Below are 18,993 nucleotides of genomic sequence, written 5' to 3' on the forward strand. Positions count from 1 at the left end.
CCCAGTCTTGATGAAGTTCTCTCCATTTTTGGGCTGTGGTACAGCATTTGGCAACACACAGTTTCTGTCTGTGTATTCCCAATTCTTGGAAAGCCATTTGCTATTCATAAAACTTCTTTTCCAGTCTTGTGCACACATGTACATTCACGTATTTCTCTCAGGGTTCCTGATGGCTCCCAACCTCTAACCGAGGGAGAGACTCTGACGTCTGAAATTATCTTAGCCTTTGGAGCACACACCCTATTTTATTTTTCTTTATTCATTAAATATTAATCTGAATTAGGCTGCTAATGACAGATTTCATCACCAAAAGGCATTATGCATTCTAGAGCCTGTTAATCTTTTCTAATAGTTCATCTGTATATAAGTGTATCCACTGCCACTCCCTCGCCTCATTACACTGCCATTTTCCCAAGAGTATTGATGAGAAATAATAAAGTGAGTAAAGTGTATTGGCTATTTATTTTTTAATATAGCACCTCTTATCATCGGAGAGGTAAAGTCAGAATTAAGATAACAGCCACTAAGAAAAGCCAAAAATATTTCACCCCAAAATATACTCCTTCTTTGATATATTTTGGGATGGATATTCAGAAGACCTGTAGAGAGAAATAGCCTGCAAAACTGCTTTTTGTGGAGGAGGTTTGCATCTGTAGAGAAAAATCTACATTAGGGAAATAAATAGCCAGGCTTTCTCTGACAACGCCTCCCCTCCAGTCTGGACCTAGGAGACATTTATTCTTTCTGGGAGCTGCTACAAATGAGGTTGCATGTACATAACAAGACCACTCTTCCTAGCCATGCCTTTCCCCTTCCCTCTCTCCCATAACCTGTCTTGACACATTGCAAGCCCCTGTTCTTTCTGGGTAGCTTTTACTCATGGTGGAAGGCGAAGCAGGAGCAGGCATCTTAACATGGCAGAAGCAGGACTAAGACATAGAGTGGGAGTTGCTACACACTTTCAAACAATAGAATCTCATGAGAACTCCATCACAACAGCATGAAGGGGATGTAGCTAAACCATTCGTGAAGCATCCACCCCCACGATCCAATCACCTCCCACCAGGCCCCTCCTCCAACACTGGGGATTACAATTGCACATGAGATTTGGGTGGGGAAGCCGACCTAAACCATATCAAGTGTCAACCACCTGGGCCTTTCGTTGAGTTTTTATATTTTGTATGACTCCTGTGCACATGTGCGTATGTTAATAAATTTGATTATGTCTTTTCTCCTATTAATCTGCCCTTTGTCAGTTGATTTTCAGCAAACCTTCAGAGGACAAAGGGCAAACCCTCAGCCCGTACAGTTTTGGTGCTGTCAGCAGGATAACCAAAACTGCTCTGCTCTTCCAGAAGCTGCAGTCAAGGGAACCCAGGACCTGACAAGCTGGCAGAATAGTAAGAATTCTTTAACAATTAGCTTCTTGGTTGTCTGTGGAATCTGGTTGAGTGGATGGTAAAAATCACTGTCTCTTTTTTCCTCTTCCCAATTTAAGACTGTGGGAGAAAAGCATGTATACAGACTGGTCTTAGGTTTAGCAATTTTGATGTTATTGTCATTGGTTTTGTATAAATAGGTGTATTGTGTGATCCTTTTCCTTCCAGGAATAGTCTTTGTTTTTTCTTTGTCTTTGTCTTCCCGTGCTGTTTCGTCATAAAGAAGGATACTATAGACTATGGAATAAAAACCGAAGGTTGGCCAGGTATGGTTGCTCACGCCTGTAACCCCAGCACTTCGAGAGGCTGAGGTAGGCAGATTACTTGAAGTCAGCAGTTCGAGACCAGCCTGGGCAACAAAGGGCCCCCTCCCCGACCTCTACAAAAAAAAAAAAAATTAACCGAGCACAGTGGCATCTGCTTATAGTCCCAGCCACTCGGGAGGTGGGTGGATTACTTGATTGCCCAGGAGTTTGAGGCTGCAGTGAGCTATAATTGCCACTGCACTCAAGCCTGGATGACAGAGCAAGACTGTCACTGAAAAAAAAAAAAAAGCAAACCCCACCCCCCCTGCCAAAACACTGGAGATTTCCCTCTCATTTTGTTGTACATCCTTGAGGGCTTGACTTGTGACCAAGTGGGAGCACCCTATTTTGGTCTCCACCATCTCAGGGGCCAGGATTTTTGGGTCACATTCAGTGGACAGTATGAAAGGGCTGAGAACCCCAAGACACATAAGATATTAAGAACACTTTTTGTTCCAAATGTGCCAAGCTTTTATGGGCGTTTGTCTTAATAAATCCCATCTATAAGGAGCTTTTGTTGTCTCAACTTTTGTTGCCTGGTCAGTTCTGGGAAAGTCTAATCCTAGGAGGGCCTACCCAGTGTCCCGGATCAATGGGTCTGTGACTGGCGCTCCCCTACACACAAATTTGTGGGATACCAGAGGCATCATATGCACAAACTGTATCCTTAACTGTCTGTAGCAACAACAGTCTTTTGCTATCTTAGACTATTTCTGTGAGTGACTTTTTTGGTGGGGAGTCATAGGGGACTGCATCTTCTGTGCTGATTTTTTTAAAAATTTTATTATTATTATACTTTAAGTTTTAGGGTACACGTGCACAACATGCAGGTTTGTTACATATGTATACATGTGCCATGTTGGTGTGCTGCACCCATTAACTCGTCATTTAGCATTAGGTATATCTCCTAATGCTATCCCTCCCCCCTCCCCCCACCCCACCACAGTCCCCGGTGTGTGATGTTCCCCTTCCTGTGTCCATGTGTTCTCATTGTTCAATTCCCACCTATGAGGGAGAACATGCGGTGTTTGGTTTTTTGTCCTCGCGATAGTTTGCTGAGAATGATGGTTTCCAGCTTCATCCACGTCTCTACAAAGGACACGAACTCATCTTTTTTATGGCTGCATAGTATTCCGTGGTGTATATGTGCCACATTTTCTTAATCCAGTCTATCATTATTGGACATTTGGGTTGTTTCCAAGTCTTTGCTATTGTAAATAGTGCCGCAATAAACATTCATGTGCATGTGTCTTTATAGCAGCATGATTTATAATCCTTTGGGTATATACCCAGTAATGGGATGGCTGGGTCAAATGGTATTTCTGTGCTGATTTTTAAGACACCACTTATATCTATGGTATTCTAAATCTGGAAAATTACCACTGGGACTTTTCATTAAAAAGGATTATTGGCTTGAGCTGCTTAGGGAATAAATAAATTGGCTATAATTTTTTTAAAAAAACTTTTTAGAGAGTTCTCATCTTAAACAGCTATCTTATTGGTACCTATTAGAAAAAACAAACAAACAAACAAACAATAGCCTTAAAAAAAATCCCTTGAAAAAATCAAAAGAAAAAAAATAGCAGAAATCAGTTTTCAAACAAAGTTAAAATCCTTTGTATACTCAAACTGCCTGCTTTGGGTCCCCTGCGAGATTTGCAAAGAAGGGACTCTAGCCAGTACTCTCATGGCTAGGATTCCATACTTAAACCACCATGGTCTGGGTGTGAGTCCTGTCTGGGAGCCAGTTCCTTGGAAATGTAAGTCCTTTAAATCAAAAGGAAAAAAAAATCTATAAAAACTGGTTTGATATTTGTATGACTCTTAACTTTTAGGGTATCCATTGTTTTGTAATCCTTTTTGCCCTCAGGGACAGTTTTTGATGTCCTGTCTTACAGACGGGTGTCTCTTGTAATCTTCCATCTACGGGGCACACTAGATGTCAGGCCTTTGTGTGCAGATGGTCAGCTAAGAAGCTGAGACTCCAGAGAATATGGTCAGACAGAAATGTGGGTTGTGCCCTATTTGGGGTGAGTGAAACTTTCCTTTCTTTGAGCTGTCATTGGGGGTGATCTCTTGGGTGAGTTGCAGTTTTCCTCCCTCTTTGGAGACTTTAGTTAAAGCCATAAAGGACTTCTTGCTTTTAGTCTCATGTGTGCTTATTTGTTTTGGTTTTGAGTCATTAGTTCAGGCATACCTCTGCTTTAAAACTTTTGTATTTAGAGTGTGATAGCAACTTTTTTTCCCCATTGATCTTGCTTCCCCTAGTAGGCCAGAGAGCCATACCTCCCTCTGCCACTGGAAACCAAACCATTGAGCTGAGGAGATGGACCCTACTGCAGCCATCACACTCTCGGCTCTGGCAAAAGGCTGACTGCTTGTAGGATAGAACACTTGCTGCTTGGATATTTAAAACAAATTTTAAAAGAGCTTTATAGTCAAAATTAAAAGCTGATATTCAGGCTGTATTTTTAATAACCTTTCTGCTTTTTCTCTTTTGGATCCTATTTCTCCCCTGGGAATTTTTTCAGTCAATTAAAACCCTTTTTTAAAATGTATATGTTACATCTCTCTGTTCACTTCCTTTCTTGTTGGCATGATTTTTGCTGAGAAAAATGTAAAACTTCATTGATGTTTTTGGAAGTTTAAAACCTTCCCAAACTGGTTCTCATTTACTTCTACTCTTCTCTCCCTTTTGCTTCCTTCGATATCAAATGAAGAGATCTAGACGGGATGTCTAGTGACCCTGAGACCTATGTTCTTGAAAAACACAGAAAAAGGTACCACACACTCATTTTGGGGGGCCTTCTGTCTTCCTCACAGACCCCCAAGAGTCATAGACAGGGTCCTGTCAAGTCTAAAGCTCTGCTGCCATTTGCACTGAGTTCCCTGATCTCTCTGGCTTTTGGGAGTACCGGGAGTTACTTTGCACAGTGGGTGAGCACTTGACCTTTGAGTATGCTGTGGCTGGTGAGTCCCTGGCAAGGCTGCAATTCTGGAGGCAGCTGACAGCAGTTTTAGTCAATGGTTATCACTACAAGGGGCTACTTGTTTCTTTGTGTGTTTCGATAAGCAAAGCATGGTCTGGGCACTTGGAGGCTGTGGGAACACATGCCATCAAAGGATAAGACTCCCATGGGGATTGGGCCGATCACAGAGTGAGCTGGTTGGCATTGGGTTGCCCACTAGCCTCAGGGGAATGTCCTTGCAGCAAGGTTCACTGTGGAAGGGTATGGTGCTTCCTCTTGGGCTTTTGCCTCACCTCTGGAGAACCCAGGATTCAGTGAAAAATGACACCTGGGGATCCAAGCAAGCGCTCTTCCAGCTCTGCCTGCTTTTCACATATAACAGCATTAAGCCCCAGAAGCTGCAAATGCTTTGACAGCCCTATGCATTGATGGGCTCTGCCCTAAGCACACTTGGAAAAGGGAGACTTAATTGGTAACTAACTAAATTGTTCTCCTTATAAAATCCGCTAGTGAATTCCTACGTTTTTGTGTTATTTTGGCGTCCATTTTCGATCTTCCTCTAACACACCCAACTTCTTGAAAAAGCTTAAATTATCTCTCTGCACTTTGAGATGCAAATTTACGACCTATTTTTTCTAAAACTTGGTAAGGGCTTCGGCCTTGTGGAACAAATAAACTTGTGGAACAAATGGAACAATAAATGATGTTTCCATTTACAGAGGCACAGTTTAATCCAACTGTCCTTTTAAACTAATGAGTTTTACCTGCCTCGTGGCTAAAATTTTAGAATCAGAGCTATAAAATCTTTATGTTTGTCTGTTTCTTTGTGTGTATACATGTGTACACATCTGTGTTTGCATATTCTCTACATGGTACTAAATTGGACTTACAAATAAGTCAGTACTCATGAGAGGTGAAGCCAGCTGGAATTCCTGGGTCCAGTGGGGACTGGGGGAACGTTTCTGTCTTACAAGAGCTTTGTTAAACGCACCAACCAGGAACTTTCCTGTATTACAAGAGGTTTGTAAAATGCACCAATCAGGAACTTTCCTGTCTTACAAGAGGTTTGTAAAATGCACCAATCAGGAACTTTCCTGTCTTACAAGAGGTTTGTAAAACGCACCAATCAGCACTCTGTAAAATGCACCAATCAGCGCTCTATAAAATGCACCAATCAGCAGGATTCTAAAAGTAGCCAATCGTGGGGAGGATTGAAAAAAGGGCACTCTGATAGGACAGCAATGGAACATAGGAGTGACCAATAAGGGAATAAAAGCCAGCCAGCAGCAACAACCTGCTCAGATCCCCTTCCACGTTGCGGAAACTTTGTTCTTTCGCTCTTCACAATAAACCTGGCTACTGCTCACTCTTTGCGAAGGTCTGTGGCTTCATTCTTGAAGTCAGCAAGACCATGAACCCAGGCAGGAACCAACTCCGGACACATTCATAAATTAAATAATTTGCCCAAATATTTTTCACTTTAGTAATAGAGTTGACCCTTGAACTGCAAGGGTCCACTTACATGCATATATTCTTCGGCCTCTGCCACCCTTGAGGCAAGAAGACCAACCCCTCCTGTTCCTCCTTCTCCTCAGCCTACTCAACATGAAGATCATGAGGATGAAGACCTTAATGATGATTCACTTCCACTTAGTAGTAAATATTCTCTCTTCCTTATGATTTTCTTAATAACATTTTCTTCTCTCTAGCTTATTTGATTGTAACAATAAAGCATATAATACATAACATAAAAATATTGTTAATCAACTGTTAATATGTTGTCAGTAAGATTTCTAGTCAACCATAGGCTAGTTGTTGTTACATTTTGTGGGAGTCAAATGTTTTCAACTCTGTGGGGGATTGGCTCCTCAACCCTTGTGTTGTTCAAGAGTCAACTATATTTGGTAAAGAAAAATAGTTTTAACATTTTTGGTAAAATAAAATCAAAATGCCTACAGAATTTTAGACATTTTTGACTGGATCAACTGGTCAGACATATTTATACTTTCTCTTCTAGATGTTTTAAGGTAATAAACCTGGTATTTTTTATACTTAGTTTAATTTGTCTATGAGGTTATGTCTTTGGTTTTGAGCCTTTGAATTTAGGAGTCTAGCCAAGTGGCCATGCTGAGTCCTAGGGATATACAGAGCTTGGGTCACCAGCTACAGAGCAGGGACAAGCACATTATGGCCCCATCCTCCCTGGCTCAGCTATGCCTTCTGGATGTGCTGGGAGAGTCGGATCCTCCAGGCATGGTCTTCACAGCTTTGTCCTCTGTCCTGAGCTCTGCACTTTGTACATAACAATTAAAATTGCTTACCTCCTGGATTTTCACTGGAAATTAGGGTTATTAAGAGTTAAAATAATTACATCTATGTCGTTAAAACCAGTAGATATAAGAAAAACAATTCTGTATGTAAAGAGTACAAAGAAAGCAAGATATGTTTGTTTAGGTAAATTATAAACGCATGAGGATATGTGTTGAGAAAAAATTAATTTTGTCTATAGAGGTTATTTAAACATCATTTCAAAACAAAGGGGAATGGTCCGGTTCCAAGATGGCTGAATAGGAACAGGTCCAGTCTATAGCTCCCAGCATGAACAACACAGAAGACAGGTGATTTCTGCATTTCCAACTGAGGTACCAGGTTCATCTCACTGGGGATTGTTGGACAGTGGATGTAGCCCACTGAATGTGAGTCCAAGTAGGGTGGGGCATCACCTTACCCAGGAAGTGCAAGGGGTCAGGGAATTCCCTTTCCTAGCCAAGGGAAGCCATGACAGACGGTACATGGAAAATCGGGACAGTCCTAACCTAATACTGCACTTTTCCAATGGTCTTAGCAAACGGCACACCAGGAGATTATATCCCGCACCTGACTTGGAGGGTCCTACACCCACAGAGCCTCGCTCACTGCTAGCACAGCAGTCTGAGATTGAACTGCAAGGCGGCAGTGAGGCTGGGGGAGGGGTATCTGCCATTGCTGAGGCTTGAGTAGGTAAACAAAGTGGCAGGGAAGCTCAAACTGGGTGGAGCCCACTGCAGCTCAATGAAGCCTGCCTGCCTCTGTAGACTCCACCTCTGGGGGCAGGACATAGCTGAGTAAAAGGCAGCAGAAACTTCTGCAGACTTAAAGGTCCCTGTCTGACAGCTTTGAAGAAAGTAGTGGTTCTCCCAGCACAGAGTTTGAGATCTGAGAACGGACAAACTGCCTCCTCAAATGGGTCCCTGACCCCTGAGTAGCCTAACTGGGAGACATCTCCCATTAGGGGCCAACAGACACCTCATAGAGCTGGGTGCCCCTCTGAGATGAAGCTTCCTGAGGAAGGATCAGGCAGCAACATTTGCTGTTCTGCAATATTTGCGGTTCTGCAGCTTCCACTGGTGATACCTAGGCAAACGGTCTGGAGTGGACCTCCAGCAAACTCCAACAGACCTGCAGCTGAGGGTCCTGACTCTTAGAAGGAAAACTAACAGAAAGGACATTCACACCAAAACCCCATCAGTACGTCACCATCATCAAAGACCAAAGGTAGATAAAACCACAAAGACGGGGAGAAACCAGAGCAGAAAAGCTGAAAATTCTAAAAATCAGAGTGCCTCTTCTCCTCCAAAGGAACGCAGCTCCTCGCCAGCAATGGAACAAAGCTGAATGGAGAATGACTTTGACGAGTTGACGAAAGCAGGCTTCAGATGATCGGTAATAACAAATTTCTCCGAGCTAAAGGAGGATGTTCGAACCCATTGCAAAGAAGCTAAAAACTTTGAAAGAAGATTAGACAAATGGCTAACTGGAATAAACAGCCTAGAGAAGACCTTAAATGACCTGATGGAGCTGAAAACCATGGCATGAGAACTACGTGAAGCATGCACAAACTTCTGTAGTCGATTCGATCAAGTGGAAGAAAGGGTATCAGTGACTGAAGATCAAATGAATGAAATGAAGTGAGAAGAGAAGTTTAGAGAAAAAACAGCAAAAAGAAATGAACAAAGCCTCCAAGAAATATGGGACTATGTGAAAAGACCAAATCTACATCTGACTGGTGTACCTGAACGTGACAGGGAGAATGGAACAAAGTTGGAAAACACTCTTCAGGATATTATCCAGGAGAACTTCCCTAACCTAGCAAGGCAGGCCAACATTCAAATTCAGGAAATACAGAGAACACCACAAAAATACTCCTCAAGAAGAGCAACTCCAAGACACATAATTGTCAGATTCACCAAAGTTGAAATGAAGGAAAGAATGTTAAGGGCAGCCAGAGAGGAAGGTCGGGTTAACCACAAAGGGAAGTCCATCAGACTAACAGTGGATCTCTCGGCAGAAATCCTATAAGCCAGAAGAGAGTGGGGGCCAATATTCAACATTCTTAAAGGAAAGAATTTTCAACACAGAATTTCATATCTAGCCAAACTAAGCTTCATAAGTGAAGGGGAATTAAAATCCTTCACAGACAAGCAAATGCTGAGAGATTTTGTCACCACCAGTCCTGCCTTGCAAGAACTCCTGAAGGAGGCACTAAACATGAAAAGGTACCAGCCACTGCAACAACATACCAAATTGTAAAGATTATCGATGCTAGGAAGAAACCGCATCAACTAATGAGCAAAATAACCAGCTAACATCATAATGACAGGATCAGTTTCACACATAACAACATTAACCTTAAATGTAAATGGGCTAAATGCTCCAATTAAAAGATACAGACTGGCAAATTGGATAAAGAGTCAAGACCCATCAGTGTGCAGTATTCAGGAGACCCATCTCACGTGTAGAGACACACATAGGCTCAAAATAAAGGGGTGGAGGAAGATCTACCAACCAAATGGAAAACAAAAAAAAGCAGGGGTTGCAACCCTAGTCTCTGATAAAACAGACTTTAAACCAACAAAGATCAAAAGAGACAAAGAAGGCCATTACATAACAGTAAAGGGATCAATTCAACAAGAAGTGCTACCTATCCTAAATATATATGCACCCAATACAGGAGCACCCAGATTCATAAAGCAAGTCCCTAGAGACCTACAAAGTCCTAGAGACTTAGACTCCCACACAATAATAATGGGAGACTTTAACACCCCACTGTCAACATTAGACAGATCAATGAGACAGAAAGTTAACAAGGATATCCAGGACTTGAACTCAGCTCCACACCAAGTGGACCTAATAGACATCTACAGAACTCTCCACCCCAAATCAACAGAATATATATTCTTCTCAGCAACACATCACACTTATTCCAAAATTGACCACATAGTTGGAAGTAAAGCACTCCTCAGCAAATGTAAAAGAACAAAAATTATAACAAACTGTCTCTCAAACCACAGTGCAATCAAATTAGGACTCAGGATTAAGAAACTCACCCAAAACTGCGTAACTACATGGAAACTGAACAACCTGCTCCTGAATGACTACTGGGTACACAACGAAATGAAGGCAGAAATAAAAATGTTCTTTGAAAACAATGATAACAAAGACACAACATACGAGAATCTCTGGGATACATTTAAAGCAGCGTGTAGAGGGAAATTTGCAGCGGTAAATGCCCACAAGAGAAAGCAGGAAAGAGCTAAAATTTACACCCTAACATCACAATTAAAAGAACTAGAGAAGCAAGAGCAAACACATTCAAAAGCTTGCAGAAGGCAAGAAATAACTAAGATCATAGCAGAACTGAAAGAGATAGAGACACAAAAAACCCTTCAAAAAATCAATGAATCCAGGAGCTGTTGGTCTTTTTGAAAAGACCAACAAAATTGATAGACCACTAGCAAGACTAATAAAGAAGAAAAGAGAGATGAATCAAATAGACAGAATAAAAAATGATAAAGGGGATATCACCACCGATCCCACAGAAATACAAACTAACATCAGAGAATACTATAAACACCTCTATGCAAATAAACTAGAAAATCTAGAAGAAATGGATAAATTCCTGGACACATACACCCTCCCAAGACTAAACCAGGAAGAAGTTGAATCTCTGAGTAGACCAATAACAGGCTCTGAAATTGAGGCAATAATTAATAGCCTACCAACCAAAAAAAGTTCTGGACCAGACGGATTCACAGCCAAATTGTACCAGAGGTAAAAAGAGGAGTTGGTACTATTCCTTCTGAAACTATTCCAATCAATAGAAAAAGAGCGAATCCTCCCTAATTCATTTTATGAGGCCAGCATCATCCTGATACTGCAGAGACACAACAAAAAAAGAGAATTTAAGACCAATATCCCTGATAAACATTGATGCAAAAATCCTCAATAAAATACTGGCAAACTGAATCCAGCAGCATATCAAAAAGCTTATCCACCATGATCAAGTCAGGTTCATCCCTGGGATGCAAGGCTGGTTCAACACACACACATCAATAAACGTAATCCATCATATAAATAGAACCAAAGACAAAAACCAAATGATTATCTCAATAGATGCAGAAAATGCCTTAGACAAAATTCAACAGCACTTCATGCTAAAAACTCTCAATAAACTAGGTATTGGTAGGACGTATCTCAAAATAATAAGAACTATTTATGACAAACCCACAGCCAATATCATACGGAATGGACAAAAACTGGAAGCATTCCCTTTGAAAACTGGCACAAGACGGGGATGCCCTCTCTCACCACTCCTATTCAACATAGTGTTGGAAGTTCTGGCCAGGGCAATCAGTCAAGAGAAAGAAATAAAGGGTATTCAATTAGGAAAAGAGGACGTCAAATTGTCCCTGTTTGCAGATGACATGATTGTATATCTAGAAAACCCCATCGTCTCAGCCCAAAATCTCCTTAAGCTGATAAGCAACTTCAGCAAAGTCTCAGGATACAAAATCAATGTGCAAAAATCACCAGCATTCCTATACACCAATAACAGACAAACAGAGAGCCAAATCATGAGTGAACTCCCATTCACAATTGCTTCAAAGAGAATAAAATACCTAGGAATCCAACTTACAAGGGATGTGAAGGACCTCTTCAAGTAGAACAACAAACCACTGCTCAATGAAATAAAAGAGGACACAAACAAATGGAAGAACATTCCATGCTCATGGATAGGAAGAATCAATATCTTGAAAATGGCCATACTGCCCAAGCTAATTTATAGATTCAATGCCATCTGCATCAAGCTACCAATGACTTTCTTCACAGAACTGGAAAAAACTACTTTAAAGTTCACATGGAACCAAAAAAGAGCCCACATTGCCAAGTCAATCCTAAGACGAAAGAACACAGCTGGATGCATCATGCTACCTGACTTCAAACTATACTACGAGGCTACAGTAACCAAAACAGAGATATAGACCAATGCAACAGAACAGAGCCCTCGGAAACAATACCACACATCTACAGCAATCTGATCTTTGACAAACCTGACAAAAACAAGAAATGGGGAAAGGATTCCCTATTTAATAAATGGTGCTGGGAAAACTGGCTAGCCATACGTAGAAAGCTGAAACTGGATCCCTTCCTTACACCTTATACAAAAATTAATTCAAGATGGATTAAAGACTTAAATGGTAGACCTAAAACCATAAAAACCCTAGAAGAAAACCTAGGCAATACCATTCAGGACATAGGCGTGGGCAAGGACTTCATGACTAAAACACCAAAAGTAATGGCAACAGAAGCCAAAATAGACAAATGGGATCTCATTAAACTGAAGAGCTTCTGCACAGCAAAAGAAACTAGCATCACAGTGAACAGACAACCTACAGAATGGGAGAAAATTTTTGCAATCTATCCATCTGACAAAGGGCTAATATCCAGAATCTACAAAGAACTTAAAGAAATTTACAAGAAAAAAATCAAACAACCCCATCAAAAAGTGGGGGAAGGATATGAACAGACACTTCTCAAAAGAAGACATTTATGCAGCCAACAGACACATGAAAAAATGCTCATCATCACTGGCCATCAGAGAAATGCAAATCAAAACCACAATGAGATACCATTTCACATCAGTTAGAATGGCGATCATTAAAAAGTCAGGATACAACAGGTGCTGGAGAGGATGTGGAGAAATAGGAACACTTTTGCACTGTTGGTGGGACTGTAAACTAGTTCAACCATTGTGGAAGACAGTGTGGCGATTCCTCAAGGATCTAGAACCAGAAATACCATTTGACCCAGCCATCCTATTATTGGGTATATACCCAAAGGATTATAAATCATGCTGCTATAAAGACACATGCACACGTATGTTTATTGCGGCGCTATTCACAATAGCAAAGACTTGGAACCAACCCAAATGTCCAACAATGATAGACTGGATTAAGAAAATGTGGCACATATACACCATGGAATACTATGCAGCCATAAAAAAGATGAGTTCATGTCCTTTGTAGGGACATGGATGAAGCTGGAAACCATCCTTCTGAGCAAACTATCTCAAGGACAGAAAATCAAACACCGCATGTTCTCACTTGTAGGTGGGAACTGAACAATGAGAAAACTTGGACACAGGGTGGTGAACATCACACACCAGGGCCTGTTGTGGGGTGGGGGGTGGGGGGGAGGGATAGCCTTAGGAGTTATATGTAATGCAAATGATGAGTTAATGGGTGCAGCACACCAACATGGTACATGTATACATATGTAGCAAACCTGCACGTTGTGCACATGTACCCTAGAACTTAAAGTATAATAAAAATAAATAGATAAAACATTTTAAGATTAAAAAAATGGGGGAAAGATGGTTGACTCAAAGCAGCTGGTGTACAGCACTCTCACGAAGAGGCAACCAAGAGGCAAGTAAATACTAGTTTTTCACATGGATCATCAAGGAGATCGTGCTGGGATTCAGCAAGGAAACAATGGGGACATGGGGAGAACAGAGAGGAATAAAGTTGGGCAGCTGCCCTCTCGGAACTGGCATGGAGGTAGGGGAAGCTCCCTAATGCAGAGAAAAGGGGAGTGAGTGATAGTCCCCAGTGGATCCACACTTCAGCCATGGATCTTGGCAATCTTGGGCACAGGAGACCCCCTGGCCCCTCTGGTCCTCCAGACTGACACGGAGAGTCACCTGGACCTTGTGCAGAGGAACCAAAGTTCACATGGAGCTCAACAGGCCTTGAGTCCCTGGGCAGCCTGGCAGCAGCTGCCATAGCCCTGCCAAAAAGGGAGGACAGGCTCTTTTGCACTCCCCTAGGATAAATGCCACAGCCTCAGTGCTGAGGAGCTCACAGACTGCAGACTGCTTGATCCCAAACCCCTGCTGCTCTGCACCAGGCAGAGCCTGCTGATTTGAGCTCCCAGAGCAGTTGCCATGCCCTTTTCTACACTCTGTGGGTGGTCTAGGATGGAACTCCCAGAGTTAACTCTGCCATCACCATTCTTGCTGTCCCTGCCCCTTCTTTCCTAAGGCCAGGGAGAGAATAAAGAGGCTGAGCATATTTGCAGCCTTCACAGGGGTGCCACAGCCACCCCACTAAGAGGTGGCCAGACTGTTTACTGTGCAACCCCACCCCTGCTGCTCCTCGCCAGGCAGGGCCCAGCACCTTGGGCTCCCAGGGTAGCCACCCTGTCCCCACCTGAACACTGTTCAATGGTGGCTTTATGTTCTTCTGGGACCAAATCGCCCACAGGTGGCTGATAAGCCCTTCATAACTGCTGCTGCTGTTGTTCCCATCCCTACTGCCCTCAGGCAAGGGAAGGAACAAGGAAACTGGGCACTTCTGTGCACCTGCAGCAAGGATGCCACAGCCTAGACACAGAGGAGCAGTGGACAGACTACCCACCACACAGCTCCCTACCTCTGATGATCCCTGCCAAATGGGGCTTGCCCAGTGCACCCACCGTGTTCTCATGTGCACATTTCAGCTGTGGTCCAGAGCCCTTCTGAAAATCCTAGCACCACAGGCCTGTGATCTTCCCTCTGGCTCCCACCACCTAAGCATTCCACCTGCCCCGACCTGAGAGTTCAGCAGGTGACCTGGGGACCAGCCCACCCCTCCCCATCATAGTCAGCACCTGAAGTCTGGGCTCACCCAACCAAGGTCCAGCCCCTTCAGGACACATACACATTGTCCAGTGGGCCATCTAGGGGCCTAGAAACTGGGGAACTAAATACCTCATTGCCAACTCTGCTGGCACCTGACCACTTCCCCAGGGCCTGAGGTTGGGTCAACCAAACCAGCTGACAATACCACAACCAACACACACCTGTACAGGGCCAAAGGTGGAGACCCCCCACACACTTTATATGAAGCAGCAGTCCCACTACATCAGAGAAGAAGCAAGCCATAAACCGATCTGTATCAGACCGAGTGAGAGGTTCTGCCCTAAAACCACTTCCATGGCCAGTGACAAAACAGAGACTTACCATGGCTCTCAATCACATTGGGGTCCAGAGATGGACTACAGTGTGCATCTGAACTAGGAGTCATGAGTCTTGGGACAGGGGTATGATAGGGAAACGGATCATAGTCCTGCCTATCTAGCATGGGGAGCCAGTGGAGCCTGCTCACCCCGGGGCAGAGACCTCAGTGCATTTCATTAGGAGCTCCTCCCAGCCACCTTTGTCAGGGCTGGTGCTTGCACTCACCATTGGGGTATTTGTGGGCAAGCCAGGGGCTCCAGTTCTGCTGAGCTGTGTCCCCCATGGAATAGGAACCTAAGGGTGCTGGGAACCCCGCTGTCCAGCCCTCCATTTGTAACAACAGAGAATATCTCACAGTAAATGAAGATCAGGTACAGATCCATCTGCTTGAGCCACAGCTGCCTCTTAAAAGCACTATCTAGTGGCCTCTAAGTCAAACCATACAGCCCAATATAAAGCCTGCTGACAGAAGTGCATAGAGCTATAGAAGCAAATCCAAAGGATTCTATGCAACGTACTCTATGGTCACACTCCCCTAGGGAGAGGGAAAAGGGAAAGAAATATACAGGGGAAGAAAAAAATCAATATTCATATGAAAATAATTACAAAAAGTAGGAGTATTAGCATCGCCAGATGAGAGTAAAACAACACAAGAATTCTGGCACTATGAAATATCATGACAGGATCAAACCTCCCCTATCAATATTAACTTTGAATGTAGATGGTCTCAACACCCCACTTAAAAGGCACAGAGTGGCAAGTTGGATAAAAAATAAAAAAAAAATTTAAAAAAAAAACAAAGATCCAACCACCTGCTGTCTTCAAGAGACTCATCTCACATGTAATGACACCAATAGACTCACATTCAAGGGTTGGAGAAAGATCTATCATGCAAATGGAAAACAAAAAAGAGCAAGGGTAGCTATTCTTATATTGGACAAAACAGACTTTAAACCAACAAAAGTAAAAAAAGGACAAAGAATGGCATTACAAAACCACAATGAGATACCATCTCACATTAATTAGAGTAGCTATTATTAAAACGTCAAAAAATAACAGATGTTCGTGAAGTTGCAGAGAAAAGGGAACACAATATGTTGTTGGTGGGAAGGTAAATTACTTCAGCCACTGTGGAAAGCAGTTTGGAGGTTTCTCAAACACCTAAAAATAGAACTACCATTCGACCAAGCAATCCCATTACTGGGTATCTACCTAAAGGAAAATAAGTTGTTCTATTAAAAAGACACCTGCACTCACATATTTATCACAGCACTGTTCACAATAGCAAAGACATAGAATCAACCTAGGAGCTCATCAGCGGTGGATTCGATAAAGAAAATGTAGTACATATACACCGTGGAACACGAGTCATAAAAAACAATAAAATTATGTCCTTTGCAGCATGTAGACACAGCCGAAGACCAATATCCTAAGCAAATTAACACTGAAACAGAATATCAAATACCAGATGTTCTCACTTACAAGTGGGAGCTAAACATTGGGTACACATGGATATAAAGCTGGGAATAACAGACACTGGGGCCTATTAGAAGGGGGATGTAGCGGGGGTTATATGGTTTGGCTCTGAGTCCCCACCCAAATCTCATGTTGCATTGTAATCCCAATGTGTTGAGGGAGGGACCTGGTGGGAAGTGACTGCATCATGGGGGTGGCCTTCCCCTTGCTGTTCTTTTGATAGAGTTCTCACCAGTTCTGATGGTTTAAAAGTGTTGCACTTCCCCGACTTGCTCTCTCCCTCTCCTGCCTCCATGTAAAACGTGCCTTGCTTCCCCCTCACCTTCCACCATCACTGTAAGTTTCCTGAGGCCTCCCCAGCCAAGTGGAACTGTGAGTCAATTAAACTTCTTTTATTCATAAATTATCCAGTCTCAGGTAGTTCTTTATAGCAGTGTGAGAACAGACAGGGGGGCAAGGATTGAAAAACTATTGGGCACTATGTTCACTACTTAGGTGACAGGATCATTCATACCGCAGACCTCAGCATCATGTGATATACACTTCTAACACTATTGCATATGTACCCCTGAATCGAAATGAAAGTTGAAATTTAAAAAAAGCAAAAAACAAAATGGAGGGAAAAATGATATGAATAAAAATAAAAATAAATGGGGTCAGAAAGTTGGGGGAAAAGGAATCTCAAAACATATGGTTAAACTGACCAAAATTAAACAACTTTTAAAGTTGTTTTAAAATTTGTATGGGGGTATTGAGCCTCAATATCAAAAAACCACTAACGCAAAATTAGAATTTGACTTTCTCTTTTGAAGAAGATTTTTATGTATTTTTAGTAATGGTAAAAAAAAGTGTTCATTTTTGAGTAAACTGCAATAAATGGTGGGGGGATAGAAGGAGAGAAATTATGCTTGCCTCATGTGGTATGGAAAACTGAATCTCCTCTCTGACAAAGGGTAGGATATTTTTCTTTTTGAAATCTTTTAATTATCACTTTGACTAATGAATGACTATTATTTTATAGCAACCTGTAATCTTATTTTGATAAAGTGTTTTAAATCTTTCCTATTTTGATAAAGTGTTTTAAACTTTTAATATGTCTCACAGTCTTCCCAACATCAAATTTCAAAATCCAAATTAAGCTCTTTTGAACTCAAACTAGCTTTGGGGTGTTACAGAGGGCTCCTGAAACATCCAAAAGAGAGATAATAAACAACCTGATTAGATATGTTAAGGAGGTTCATGAAAAGGATGAACGACTGACAGGTACTCTGAAATACGGACCTGTGCTGATTACTCAACAGGACGAGGTAAGAATTTTAAAACATCTCATAAACAAAACTGGACTCATGGAACTGCTAACCAAACGTCAAGCAGAACAAGAATCAAGTACATGAGATTGAACTGATGGAGGACTAAAATAACTTTATGACTTTTTTGGTCTCCCACTCACTTGACTTAAAATTACTAAAAATTAACCCTAAAAACTGAAGCTGGACAACTTGATATAAATTTTGGGAAAAATCACTACATTAACTATAATATAAACAGCCTTCATGCCTATTGATGTATGGCCTATTCAGAAAGTTCATGATTCAAACTCAATTTAGAAAAATCCATCAAATTGTCACTGCCTACCCACTCCAACTGCAAATGCTTTAGAGACTCTAGAAAAACCAGCTTATAGATGACTCCAGACATTAATCTTGGTTCTTCTTTTTTCTTCACAGAAAGGTCTCTTGTTGAAGATCTGTTTTTCTACACCATATATAGATGCCTAGCTTTGAGGCCCATCTGCAATGCCATCTCTTGAAATGAGACACAACTGTTGAACTGAACTGACCTGTGCTCTCAGGACTCAGGACTGAGTCAAGAAGATATGGGTGACTTGTTCCAATCTATGGGTTTTTTTCTTCCCCTTTACCAATCTCTTATCTCACAACCTCAACCCCAAATCTCTCCATAGCTACCAATCCTACTTTAATATGTGAAACTTTCTGAAAATAAAATTTCAAATGAGGAACTAAAGGAAACCAAAAATATTTCACCCCAAAATATACTTCTTTGACATATTTTGAGATGGCTATTCAGAGGGCCTACAGACAGAAATAGTCTTGCAAAGCTGCCTTTTGTGGAGGAGATTTGCATCTGTAGAGAAAAATCTACATTAGTGAAATAAATAGCCAGGCTTTCTCTGACAACGCCTCCCCTCCAGTCTGGATCTAGGAAAGACATTTATTCTTTCTGGGAGCTGCTACTAGTGAGATTGCATGTACATAACAAGATCGCCCTTGCTAGCCATGCCTTTCCCCTTCTCTCCCCCCCATAATCTCTTTTACCACACTCCAAGCCCCTATTCTTTCTACAACCTCAAGAAGGGATAAAAGTGTCAACCATCTGAGCCCTTTGTTCATATTTTCTATGAATCCCATGCATATGTGTATGTTAATAAATTTGGGATGCCTTTCTTTTCTCCTATTAATCTGCCT

At 41.9% G+C, this 18,993-nt stretch overlaps 1 annotated feature.

The window, feature by feature from the left end:
• Window positions 18,219-18,368: an enhancer, noted in NCBI's record as "active region_25676". NCBI's record gives its function as "activates an Ori minimal core promoter by ATAC-STARR-seq in GM12878 lymphoblastoid cells {active_cell/tissue: GM12878}" and the evidence as "EXISTENCE:reporter gene assay evidence [ECO:0000049][PMID:35858748]".

The sequence above is a fragment of the Homo sapiens genome, chromosome 7 (assembly GCF_000001405.40).
Source record: "Homo sapiens chromosome 7, GRCh38.p14 Primary Assembly".
Lineage (NCBI taxonomy): Eukaryota > Metazoa > Chordata > Mammalia > Primates > Hominidae > Homo > Homo sapiens.